General features: G+C 43.4%; 1 pseudogene across 8 annotated transcripts in view, besides 3 other annotated features; it reads right to left on the bottom strand.

Moving 5' to 3' along the window:
* TRIM16L (tripartite motif containing 16 like (pseudogene)) overlaps positions 1-13,343 on the bottom strand; it is a 38,115-nt pseudogene that overhangs the window by 12,953 nt on the left and 11,819 nt on the right. For 5 of the 8 annotated variants that reach the window (NR_172637.1, NR_172634.1, NR_172638.1 and 2 more), the window contains one exon: positions 828-923. The product of NR_172637.1 is annotated as a tripartite motif containing 16 like (pseudogene), transcript variant 3 (transcript). Of the gene's footprint in view, positions 1-827; positions 1,040-13,343 lie in introns of those variants that run through there. The other 3 variants (NR_172639.1, NR_172641.1, NR_172640.1) reach the window with 1 other exon arrangement.
* Positions 1,011-1,575: an enhancer, noted in NCBI's record as "H3K27ac-H3K4me1 hESC enhancer chr17:18624898-18625462 (GRCh37/hg19 assembly coordinates)". NCBI's record gives its function as "activates a minimal SCP1, AML or CMV promoter by ChIP-STARR-seq in primed H9 embryonic stem cells {active_cell/tissue: H9 hESC(primed)}" and the evidence as "EXISTENCE:reporter gene assay evidence [ECO:0000049][PMID:30033119]".
* Positions 3,139-4,009: an enhancer, noted in NCBI's record as "OCT4-NANOG-H3K27ac hESC enhancer chr17:18622464-18623334 (GRCh37/hg19 assembly coordinates)". NCBI's record gives its function as "activates a minimal SCP1, AML or CMV promoter by ChIP-STARR-seq in naive H9 embryonic stem cells {active_cell/tissue: H9 hESC(naive)}" and the evidence as "EXISTENCE:reporter gene assay evidence [ECO:0000049][PMID:30033119]".
* Positions 4,010-4,880: an enhancer, noted in NCBI's record as "OCT4-NANOG-H3K27ac hESC enhancer chr17:18621593-18622463 (GRCh37/hg19 assembly coordinates)". NCBI's record gives its function as "activates a minimal SCP1, AML or CMV promoter by ChIP-STARR-seq in naive H9 embryonic stem cells {active_cell/tissue: H9 hESC(naive)}" and the evidence as "EXISTENCE:reporter gene assay evidence [ECO:0000049][PMID:30033119]".

The raw sequence follows: 13,343 nt of genomic DNA, 5'->3' as shown, positions 1-13,343 counted from the left end.
GTACAATGGTGCAAACTCAGCTCACTGCAGCCTCCACCTCCTGAGTTCAAGCAATTCTCCTGCCTCAGCCTCCTGAGTAACTGGGACTACAGGTGTGCACCACCATGCCTGGCTAATTTTTGTATTTTTTAGTAGAGTCGGGGTTTCACCGTGTTGGCCAGACTGGTCTCAAACTCCTGACCTCAAGTGATCCACCCACTTCAGCCTCTCAAAGTGTTGGGATTACAGGTGTGAGCCACTGTGCCCGGCCTGTTTTGCATTCTCTTCTGAGTGGTGGTTACTGGCTTGCCACTGACGAGAGGCATTTGTAGAACTCCTCAGAATCCACTTGGAGACCATTTACTGCCTACTTAGCCTGGCACACCATGGCCTTCTCAAATACCATCACTAATCCTGAGTTCTCAACTCCTTTTTTCCAGCTGCCAGGTCATAGGACTGGTGAGACTCACATGCAGAACGCCCTCTTATAATGGAAGAAGCCAAGATTACGTATAGTTTTTGGACCTCTGACTAAACTCCCAGCCCCCCACACACATACACCCTGTCAAGACAGCATAAGCAAATGTAGAAATAAGAATGTTGTTATTACAGGATTAGTCTTGGTTCTAATTTATATTATTAAAAAGCAAATCACTTGCCAGGTTTAAAACTTAAACTAATTTCATAACAAATCCTGACATCAAGGTGAGGCTACCCCACGGTGTAGTCAACTGTACCTACAATTCTCATTTGTGGAGAAACCCCAAGGAACCTACAGGAATGGAGGCTAGGCATGCAGTACCACGTCCCACACCCTCACAGGCCTGGCTGACCCAGGCTGGTCTTACCAGAACAGACTTTTGGTTAGCCTGGAGCCTGGAGATGGCATTTTCATTCAACTTGAGTTTCCGCTCCAAGTCTAACTGGGTGCACTGGAGTTCAGCCTAAAAGTGGAAAGCAGAGAATTAAGGAGGAAGGAGCCCAATGCACACAGAAGGACACGGGCACTCTCCAGCCCTGACATCCCCGCCCTTCTTCCCTGGAAAGAAGTTTAACTTCTGTGGCTGATCTCAGAAACCAGCCGGGAGGCACGAAGGGTTGGCGGTGAGCCCGTGCCCTCCTGGGGCTGCAGTCAGCATGAGTCAGCGAAAATACAGTGAGCACGGATGCCGTGCTGCTCACCATTTCAAGCATTTTGTGGATTACCCCACACCATCCTTGCCATACCCATACTAGCTGTAAACCAGAAATAAAATCCTAAGCCCCCCAACAATCTGAATGGATCCCTCCTCTCAGCAAAGGGCATTCCAAAGTTAACCTGAAAAACCAGTTCAGGCCATGATGGGAAGGGAGGTCAGACATGGCTCATTATAACTTCCTCCCTTTTGGAATTACTGATACAGCAGACTCTTTCAGTCTGATTAGAAACATTTACAATCTGTTCTCTCCAAAACCTCCTCCCTGGAGGCTTTACCCACATGATAAAACCTTGGTTTCCACCACCTCTTATCTTAACCCAGACATTCCTAAGTCTTTAGACAATAACTTGACTCTTTCAACCAACTGCCAATCAGAAAATCTTTGAATCTACCTATGACCTGGAAGCCCTGGTTTCCAGTTGTCCCACCTTTCCAGACCAAACCAAATTACATCTTACATGTATTTGATTGATGTCTCATGTCTCCCTAAAATGTATACTAGGCTGTACCCCAACCACCTTGGGCACATGTTCTCAGGGTCTCCTGAGAGCTGTGTCACAGACCATTGGTCACTCATATTTGGCTCAGGATGAATATCTTCAAATATGTTACAGAGTTTGACTCCTTTTGTCAACATAGGTAAACATGATTATTATTTCAAATGTACAGGTGATAAAATCATGCTTCCAAGTTCATCAATGGAGTTGAGCCTAGGCTGACCCCACAAGAGCCAAACAGGGAGTGTAGGGTTGGAGCCAGATGGCCAAGTGGGAAGTCTACATTTTTTTTACTTAGCAGTTGAGACTTTGGCCAAATTTACTTATGAATAGGAAAAACAAACTTTCTTTGTCTTATAGTCACACAACACAGAACACTTTCATAACTAAAACGTGTGGGTTTTTTTCCACATGAAGCCATTCTCCAACAACAGCTGGGTGTCCTAAGATGTAACTCAATTCTGACACTCCCTACTTGGAGATGGAAGAGATGCACGGGGCAAGGGATGTGGGAGGGAAGTGACACCTCTCTTCCCTCTCCAGTGCAGGGTGCACACCCTCCACGGACTTCCACCCCTTCAGCAATCCAGAAGCTCCCGGAAGCCCAGCCTTTTGGGTTTGTGTCTTTGTTTATTTTGAGATGGAGTCTCGCTCTGTCTCCCAGGCTGGAGTGCAGTGGCGCGATCTCGACTCACTGCAACCTCTGTCTCCTGGGTTCAAGCAATTCTCCTGCTTCAGCCTCCCGAGGAGCTGGGACTACAGGTATGTGCCACCACACCTGGCTAATTTTTTTGTATTTTTAGTAGAGACAGGGTTTTACCATGTTGGTCAGGCTGGTCTTGAACTCCTGACCTCAAATGATCTGCCTCCACCTCGGCCTCCCAAAATGCTGGGATTATAGGTGTGAATCACCGCGCCTGATGCCTTTTGGGTTTATGTGGAGGCTTCATGATGTAGGCATGATTGATTACATCACTGGCCATTGGTGATCCTCTCAACCTTCAGCCTCACTTCCCTCCCTGGAGGAGATCAGGGAGATGGGGCTGAAAGTCAAACCCTTTCATCATAGGGTTGGCTCCTTTGGCAACTAGCCCCCATCCTGAGGCTCTCGGGACCCCCCTCAGCCACCCAGTCATCTCACTGGCATTCAGACACTTACCACTTCAGAGAGTCTGGGGGTTCTAAGAGCTGTCGGGTGCCAGGAAATGGGGGCAGAGACCAAATCTAAGTTTTTGTTGTTGTTGTTGTTCTTCTTCTTTGTTTGTTTTTTGAGATGGAGTCTCACACTGTCGTCCAGGCTGGAGTGCAATGGTGCAATCTTGGCTCACTACAACCTCCACCTCCCGGGTTCATGCGATTCTCCTGCCTCAGCCTCCTGAGTAGCTGGGATTACAGATACACACCGCCACACCCGGTTAATTTTTGTATTTTTAGTAGAGACAGGGTTTCACTATGTTGGCCAGACTGGTCTCGAACTCCTGACCTTGTGATCCGCCTGCCTTGGCCTCCCAAACTGTTGGGATTACAGGCGTGAGCCACGGTGCCTGGCCTGTTTCTTATTTCACAACTTAATATCTCTAAACTTCCATTTCTTCACCTGTGAGATGGGGCTCAGTAAAGTGTTTGCTTCATAGGATTAGGAAAGAATGGACTAATGAGATAACGTATGTCAATAAGAACTTTGTATAGTACCAGGGACATTATTAATGAGCTCCATAAATGTCAGTGGGTGCCAGCATCGTCATCATCATCATTATTACTCCTGCTACCATGGCTGCTTTCCATTCATGTTCTGTATTCGAAGGCAGAGCCAGCCCTCCTAGCCCAGGCAAGTGCCTGCCCAAAAACCTCAGGTTTGCCTGCTTTGGCCCCAGCTTCAATCTTGCCTCCTGGGATGCACTAAACACCTTCCGCCAAGAGGTGTGCCAAGGCGCACTTAAACCTTTGCAAACCTCAAAGACCCTGTCACTTTCCTACTTCCAAAAGGGCAATATACAAAAAGAAAAAGAAAAAAAAAGAATCGCTTTCACTGCTTTTAATAGCTTCTGTCTGCATTTAAAGCTGCGAGTCATTATGCCCTAATAGAACTCAGAGGGCATAAACTGTCTCTCCATTCTCCACTGAAGACTGGGGGAATTCCAGGCCCCCTGGGGAGGGAAGCAGCTGCGGGCAGAGGACTCGCCTCTCCAGGACACTGCAGAAGGCAGGAAATGTTTGCTCAGGCTCCAGGTCACTGAGAGTGGAACTGAGGGGGCCCCAGTGACCTCTCACCCTTGATACCTGAGACGTGATGCCTGGGAGTGGGGAGTGGGGGTGGGTCTGGCCTATTTGGGGGCAATCCTGGAATCTTGAACTATGAAAAAGGCTTACACAGTGACCCATTCCAGGGGAGAGAAAAGGAACATGAGCTGCTTGTTTAAAGGTGGTGGAAGACACAGCAGAACACACCTTAGCAACAGGCTCCTACAACACGACATCTAAACAGCAGGGACAGAAGAATGTGTTGAAGCAGTCGGCAGCAGCAGGGCCATAGGGAGGTACCCAGGGAGCATCGAGAGTGAGGGGCTTCTCTCTGCTATTTGCAGACTACCACAAAAGGAGAGAAAAGGACTCCTTAAGTACATAATCGGGGACTTTCCTGACTGAGTCACCCCAAGAAAATGCACTCCCAGTTACCTCAAAAGGTGGAGCCACTTTGAAAGACTTGTTTCTCCAGTTATTCCTGTTCCTTGAAAATGATGGGGTGCCTCAGACACTGGCTTCAGGGTTTCCCAAGAGGTCAGCCACACACACATCTCAGGTCAGGGTGGGCCCTGCCCAGAAGCGGGACTGTGGTGCCCATGAGCACAGAAAGTTCTGGAAGGCAGGGCACACAGAGCTCTGCCTGCTTCAGCAAGACAATGACAGATGTGTCAAAGGCACACTATTTGGAGTCCGAAATATTTTGGGACCTGCCACTTGCTGGCCATATAGGCTTTGTCAAGTCATTCAAGCCATTTAGCTTCTCATCTGGTGCAAGACTACCTAAATATGCTAACAGAAGGGTTCCTTCTGCTACAGGGCAAAGGTGGCACACAAAGAGTGGCAGCCAGGTCATGTTAGAGATGAAAAATAGGAAGAACAGGGAGAGTGGGAAGAGAGAAGAAAAAATCCCAGACTGTGCCAGTTCCTTTGTATTCCAAGCACACAGGGTTAGCCTTTCTAGAGAAGGAAGAACTAGAGTCCACCTGGACGCTGACTGCATGCCTCGGTCAGGTGCTCAGAATTCACCATAGTACATATGGCCAGCTCAGTCACATAGGACACACACTGCCCCCTCTCAAAATACTTACAGCCTGGGAGAATAAGAAAAACAAGTTACATAATACTGAGTCCTGGGCATTCCCCAAAATGGCTGAAATAAATTCTTTTTTTTTTTTTTTGAGACGGAGTCTTGCTCTGTCACCCAGGCAGGAGTGCAATGGCGCGATCTCGGTTCACTGCAACCTCCACCTCCCAAGTTCAAGCGATTCTCCTGCCTCAGCCTCCTGAGTAGTTGGGATTATAGGCGCCTGCTACCGTGCCAGGCTAATTTTTGTATTTTTTTTTTTTAAGTAGAGACAAGGTTTCACCATGGGTCAGGCTGGTCTCAAACTCCTGACCTCAGGTGATCCACCTGCCTCGGCCTGCCAAAGTGCTGGGATTACAGGCGTGAGCCACCACGCCCGGCCCAAGTAATTCCTTTCCCAAGTGGCCACATACACCTATCATCCACCTTTCGGCTGCCAGCAAACAGGCTGTGAGTGATGCCAGTTAACCACTCCCCAGATGAGCGTGGATACTTTTGGCTCTAGATACTTGGCTCTTGCTCACCATGGAGACTGTGTCTGCAGCCAGCATCCAGTCCTGAACTTTCTGGGACTGATGCTGAGGTTCAGCATCGTGGCCTGGCATTAATGTTCTCCAAAGATCTAGGACAAGGCTCAGCTCAGGTCTTCCTGCCTTAGGAACCTGCACTGACCTCGCTCCCAGGGTTGGTTCCAAAGGTGCAGTAATTGCACCGTGCCAGCCTCTTGGCACTCTGTGGAGTTAGGGTATGTGCCTTGGCTTCCTGATTAGAGTCCAAGCTCCTAGAGGCTAGACAGTGCAGCCCAGCACTTAGCGATAGGAAGCACTCAGTAACATTTGATACGCTTGAGGAACACGAAAGAACCATACCTGCTTCATGGGTCAGAACAAACAGGAAAGGCAGTCATAGAAGGAGTCCAGATTTCATACACACACACACACACACACACACACACACACACACACACACATACACATGGTCTCATTTCTACATAGCAAGCCTGAGATTCAGAGAAGGTGAGAAGACTTGGCAGCCAGCAGGCAAGATCAGCTGCTCTTAAAACCAAAGGGGGCTGGGCGTGGTGGCTCACACCTGTAATCCCAGCACTTTGGGAGGCTGCGGCGGGCAGATCACGAGGTCAGATCGAGACCATCCTGGCTAACCCAGTGAAACCCCATCTCTACTAAAAACACAAAAAATTAGCCAGGCATGGTGGTGGGTGCCTGTAGTCCCAGCTACTCGGGAGGCTGAGGCAGGAGAATGGCGTGAACCCAGGAGGCAGAGCTTGCCATGAGCCGAAATGGTGCCACTGCACTCCAGCCTAGGCGAGAGTGCAAGACTCTATCTAAAAAATAAAAAGAATAAAAAAATAAAGAAAGAAAACAACACAGTGTATCGGGAAACCAGATAATGAATGGGTAACATTCAAGTGATAACACGTTCTCCTGGCTGCCCACATCTCGGTGGCCATTACTTTTCAGTCCAATTTTCTTATTCCTCTTCCTCTGCCTGAAAAGGTGAGAGGCTCTTTGAAGCTCAACTCAAGATCACTTCTTCTTCCCAACTTAGTCTCTCTTCCTAGATGAGCTCATCCATTCCTACGCCTTCAGTTACCACCTGTTTATGGCTCACAAATTGATGTCTCAGCTCAACTTTCAGACCTGTATATCCAACTAATTTCTAAGTATAAAGACTTGACTTTCTCACAGGCACCTTGAATCTAATGCATCCAAAATTAAATGTAAGGCCTCCCTAGATCCCACCACAACAAATTTAACCCTCCTCATGGTTCTTTTCTCAGAGATTGCCACCAGCACCCAACTAGATTACAAATCAGAAACCCAGGGAGCATCCCTACCTCCTCTCTTTCCGTCACAACCCATGTCCATCCCATCACCATTTTACATCTCACACATCTCCAAACCCTTTACCCTTTATATTTCCACTGCTATTATTAGAGTCCAAGCCATCATTGTCTCTCGCCTGGATTATGGCAATAGGCTCCACACTAGAATTCCTACATCTACTCATTGCTTTTGCCAATCCATTCTCCATTCTGCATCCAGAGAAAGCTTTTCATTTATGTATTTATTTACTTTTATTTTTTAGAGATAGGGTCTCACTGTATTGCCCAAGTTAGACTCGAACTCCTGCTCTCAAGTGATCCTTTTGCCTTGGCCTCCCAAAGTGTTGGGATTATAAGCGTGAGCCACTGCACCCACCCTCAGAGAAAGGTTTTTAAAAAAATCAACTTTACTGAGGTATAATTTACATGCAATAAAATTCACCTATTTTAAGCATCCAGGTGAATGAGTTTTGACAAATAACTCCATTCTGGTAACCACCACCCAATCAAGATAGAGAATATTGGCAGCACCCAGGAAGCTCCCTCATGCCCTTTTATTCAATCTTTCTACCATGCCTGGTTCCAGGCAACGAAGAATCTGAGTTTTATCATTATAAATTAGTTTTGCTTGTGCTGGAACTTCATATAAATGGAAATATATAGTAGGCACTATTGTGTCTGCCTTATTTCACTCAATAAAACATCTATGAGATTCATCCATGTCATGGTGCGTATCAGTAGCCTGTTGTTTTCACTGCTGAGTAGCATTCCATGCTATGTCTGTAACCAAGCGTGTTCATCCATTACCCTGCTGATGAGCATTTGGGTTTGTTATACATTTGGGCTATTTGGTATTATCTTTACCCCATCCTTTTACCAGCCTACCTGGCTCTTGATATTAAAATGCATCTCTTATGGGCATCATGTAAGCAAGTCTTGTTTTTTATTCAGTCTAATAATCTCTGCCTTGAGCAGGGGGTGGTGGATGGAGCAGAACTAATAGGCTTATGAATGGGATAAGTCTAAAAGCATAAAGTATTTGTAGAGTCTTGCCTTCCTTCATCTTACATAAACTCCAGATACCTGCTGTTACCCAGTGGTTCTAAAAGCAAGATCTATGGACCCTTGATGCTTCACTGAGACCCTTTCAGGGATGTGTGAGGTCAAAACTATTTTCATGATAACACTTGAGTATTCTTTGCTATTTTCACCATATTGTCATTTGCGCAATGATGCAGGAGCAATAGTGAGTAAAATTGCTGAGGCCTCAGCACATATTAAAGCAGTGGCACCAAACTGTGCTAGCAGTCATTGTACTTTTCCACACACTCAAAAATTGAAAATAAATTTTAAAAAGAAGCCAGTTTCATTTAAGAATGTACTTGATAACAACAGTAAAAATTATTAATTTCATTATATCTCAACTCTCGAGTAATGACTTTATAACATTCTAAATAACAAAATATGACTTCTGATTGTTTTCCAGCAAAAATGTACACGTGCAATTGTGTAAGATGCAAGCAGAAGTAGCTTTTTTTTTCCCCCAGAGAGAATATTTATCAATTAACTTCCTGATACACATCTATGATACTTTCTTCTTCCTATATGTTTTGGCTGACTTCTCTTTGAATGCTTCTTCATCTAAGAATTCCATCATTTCTATGGAAAGAATAAATTCTCTACCATGGTAGATCAAACTCTTTTTTAAAGAGTTCCTATATACCCCACACCCAATAGGGGTACATAAGACCCTTCAAACTTTCTACCACAGGGGTACACAACACCTCTACTGTTAACATCTTACGTTACTCTATGATAGTTTGTCACAATTAATGAACTAATATTGATACATTATTAACTGACGTCCATACTTACTCAGATTTTCTTTTTTTTTTTCTAGTGTCCTTTATATGTCCCAGGATCCCACCAGGACACTGTTCCACTCTCAACCCCACAGTAGCCACTATCTTATAACCCTTGAGTGATCTCACCTAGCTCATGTTCAGCTTGCCTCTCAACCTTCGGTTTACAAGGGACCTATCCATGTACTCGTGTACGCTCTTATACAACTCCCTCCTCTCTGTATCTCACCCCGCACTATCTATCTGCTTCCGCTGCTCTGAACCCTGATTTCCACATCCTCCACTCAGTGGGACCACTGTGCTCTACATGGACTCCAGCTATCTGCGCCATGGTTGGAAGTAGTTCTAAGACAGAAAGTTGGGTGATCATGGGGTTCACCTCATGAGTTTCCCTCTGTCTGGGATCAGTATTCTGTGCTACCTATTGTTCACTGCCTGAAAATAGTTGTCTCATCTATTTTGTCATGTTGTATAGCAGTTTATGGTGGGAGGGCTAGCCTAGTACCAGTTACTCCATCATAGCCAGAAGCCGAAGTCCAAAGAAAGCTTCAAAAAATATAAGTCTGATCATGTCACTTCTCTGGTTAAAATCTTTCCATGGCTCTAAGAATAAAGATCCAAATTTGAAAATGGCCCATGGGGTCTTGTATGATCTGAGCCCCACCTGTGCTCCAGCGTCATTCCCCCTCCTCCTCAGGCCCTCGTTCCTTCCTTAGCCTCTGGCCTTCCTTCAGTCCCTCGCCGTTTTCTCCTGTCTCTAGGCTTTTGCACACGAAAACACACTTTTGCACATGAAAACACACCACCAAACATTCTTCCCATCCTTCTTCACCAACCAGCTACAAGCCACAATAAATAAAACACTGTGAAACTAGCGCAGCATTAGATGGAACAGAGTCCAAAAACAGATTCATATACGTATATATTTCAACTCAGTGAGAAAGGGAGGAATTATTCAATAAGGACAGTTAGTTCAATTGGCTAGCTATGTTATCCTTAACTTATCCCATATTCAAAAAGAAACTTCAGACAAAGCATTAATAAGCAAAATGTATAAGGAACTACTCCAAACTGATAAAAAGAAAGCAACCCAACGAAAAATGGAAAAAGGAAATGAATAGGCAATTCATGGAAGAACTACAAATAACTGATAAACATAGAAAAAATAAACATAGGAAAAGACATTCAACATTATTAAGAATAAAATATAATAAAATATATATTAAAAATAAAATCTTGATAGTATCCAATGTTTGGGAGAGAAAAAGGCACTCTGCTACACTGTTAAGAGTATAAACTAGTACAGCCAATTCATCAATATTTTAAATGTACTCTGACCCAGCTCTCACATTTCCAGGAATCTATCCTACAGAAATAGCGGCATGACCACTGAATTGCCTGTATCAGGAAAAAAAACTGGAAAGAACCCAAATGCCCATTAATAAGAATATATAGAAATTATAGGACATCCATACATCAGAACACAATGCATCCATTAAAAAAAATGAGATACCTCTAAATTATTTTTAAAGATGTCTAAAGTATAATGTTGAAAGTTATAAGTGAGTTGAAAAACAAACAGTACACTACTAGTTATGCATGCATACATATACACGCACAAGAAAAGAATCTAAAAAGATACACATCAATTCTAAAGGGTAGGATTTCAAGGGGGAACTCAGGAAGCCCTTTCTTTTACTTATACACTTCTACAGTATACTATTTGATTCTGTCACAAAGAATATTTCACTTTTGTAATGTAAAAAATGTTTAAGTGTACTTTTTGAAAAAGAGAATAGATTCGCTATTACAATCAACTGCTCACGGTGAACTACTGTAGTTTAACATTGCAGCAGGAGGCTGTACCGCCACCTCGTGGGGATATACTGCCACAGTAAATTGGTTATCTAAAAATTCCTGAATCTCAGTGCTACTGCCGTTTTGGCTGGGACAATCCTTTTCTGTAGGGGCTGTCCCGTGCATTGTAGGATGATTAGCAGTATCCCTTGCCTCTATCCTCTAGGTGCCAGTAACACCCCCTCCCCCAATTGTGACAACCAAAACTGTCTCCAGACACTGGCAGTTGTCTCCTGGAGGGGGAAAATCTCCCCTGGTTGAGAACCACTAATGTGAAAGAATGAGTCTTGTGAGTGCAAAGTAGAGAAACAAAAGGTGTTCATTCATTCACTCATAAGAATATCACACCAGGTAAAGTCTTCATGAGATAATTCCCTCATGTCAGTTAGAATGAGTGTTCTAACCCACAGGTGCATGCACACAGAATTATTTTCATAGCTTGAAGATATTCTGCAGTTTAAATTCAGTAACAAGAAAACCCATTTTCATCCAGTAAATCCCCAATTGCCACAGGGCAGAAGCAACAAGGATGCAAAGCCTGTCACATGTATCCAGACTCCATTCCCAGGCCCAGGGCAGGACTTCAAAGCACTCTGTACCATGGCCTCATCACAGTGCTCCAGTCAATAACTACCACTAAATGTAAACCAGCTCCCTCCTGTCCCTCAATCAGCCGCTAATTTCTCCCACGTCGAAGCGTCCCTATGCCCATTGCTCTCCCAGATGCTCTCTATGGTCTACATGTCACAGAAAGAAGGTCTTTTTTTTATGCAGGGTTGGGAGGTCTGTGGAAGCTCAGCTCCGCTATCCACTGCCCTCACCCCAAATAGCACGGGCATATCATTTAACCTTTCCAGATCTCCATCTCCTCACTTGCAAAATAAAAGGCCCATATTATATATTCAAAGTTCCCTTTGGTTCTAAAATCTATGAACAGGGATGATGACAAATGATCCACTGTAGGCTTTCTATACAATTGTAAGTATTTTCTCCACTGAAGATTATTCTACATACAATTAGGTTGGTGTTACTGGAATCTTTTTAATTTCTAGTGTTGGGGTCCTATTAAAACCGTGATACTGAATAAGCAAAGAATCCTAAGCCATGGCTTCACTATACAGTTACTGTATTTCTAGGGTTTTGTTTTTGTCAGTGTGCATCATCTGATATCAATAATATACAGATGAATATTGTCTAATGTCTTCCCACTTTCACTATAGTCACATTTATTCCAGGACTAATATATGAAGCTGATTAAGGTTACGTGGAGTTTTTTTGGACTTGGATTAATCTGAAGTGCTTCTTTATTCACCTAGCAATCTTCCTACTAGGATAAATTGGCATATCTTCTGATACAGTCAACTTTGGCAAACCAAGGAAAAACACTCAGGAAGAGGAATAAACTAGCACACGAATGAACTGACTGGGCCTCTAGATTCACTGAAGTCGTGCTCTTACACACGGTTACTTCTGTAGTCAGCATGTAAGATGAAAACAGGGCAATACCAATATTGTCTTTAAAAATCCTTGAATTTGCCCATAAAATACACCTAGTTTTGTGTATAGCTCTGATAATAACTCATGTATAAATAGATAAATATAGAATTTTATATAGGTGTGCAAAACATAATTTTATAGTATTCTTAATTACACTAATTTATCTTTTGGTTTGGGGGGATATCTTGGTGCATATGGGTTAATTCTTGTTAAGTAAAATATAAGTATGAGATGATTTTTCCTGAGATGTTTATCTCAAGCCACTGTATTTTGCATAGATGACTCTTGGCAAAACATACCCAGCAGTCATCAAATATACGATATATATCTAACAGGTCAAAGTTCCTAGAAGAATGACTTTTCATTGAAAAACTCTATTTCACGTGGTTTTTTTAACCGTATGCAAGTATTATTTTGTGTAAAATCAGCAACAAAAGCCCTAAACAAAGATAGGTTTCCCTCATCATGATGATAATGATGTTAAAATCATGATCCCTGATGATGTTAAAATTGAGAATAAGGCCAGATATTAGTATCAAACCAAAATTGTCATGTTTCATAGGCATATGTGAGTGATATAAATAGTAAGTAAGCAGCACTGGTATTCAGAGGAGGAGATTATTTTCAGTTACAGTGGCCAAGAGGTGAGGGTGGAGGTGATACCTTAAACTGGGTCCTAAAGGAGACTAACTTGCAAAATGAAAAGAGTGATAACGTGACAACTGCCTCTTAACTTAAAGAAAACCTAAAAAGTATTAACGCTTCCTCCGAAAAGACAGAAAGCCCTACTTTAATCACTAAATATCTCTTCCTGCAATCCTCAAATCAAGCCTGGGGTCACCCTAGTTAGTTTATCACAACAGTGCAAATTATTCAGGATAATTTGCTTGGAGGAATTAATTTAACATATAAATTAATTTTCCCTTCACTGGACACATATCAGCCAAGCATACAGGCAATTTTAACATATAAGTTAGAAAATTAGACACTCATGATTTAAAAACTAAAGAATCCAGATTACCTACCAAAAAGAGATCAAAATATCAGAACATTTACTATCTAAAGCCCCAAATCAAACCCCCACCCCAGACTTTACCACAACCAAACAAACACACTGAGCTTTAGCTTAGGTTGTAAAAGGAGAGGAATTATATTCTCCATCATGAAGGGTAAGTGTGGTCTACACTACAGCCCACGAAAGAGAACCCTGTTATAGAAATATCCAAATGCTGGGCGTGGCGGCTCATGCCAGTAATGCCAGCACTTCAGGAAGCTAAG

Source organism: Homo sapiens, chromosome 17 (genome assembly GCF_000001405.40).
Source record: "Homo sapiens chromosome 17, GRCh38.p14 Primary Assembly".
NCBI lineage: Eukaryota > Metazoa > Chordata > Mammalia > Primates > Hominidae > Homo > Homo sapiens.
The sequence above is the reverse complement of the archived record's forward strand: the minus strand, read 5'-3'. Positions and strand labels throughout refer to the sequence as shown.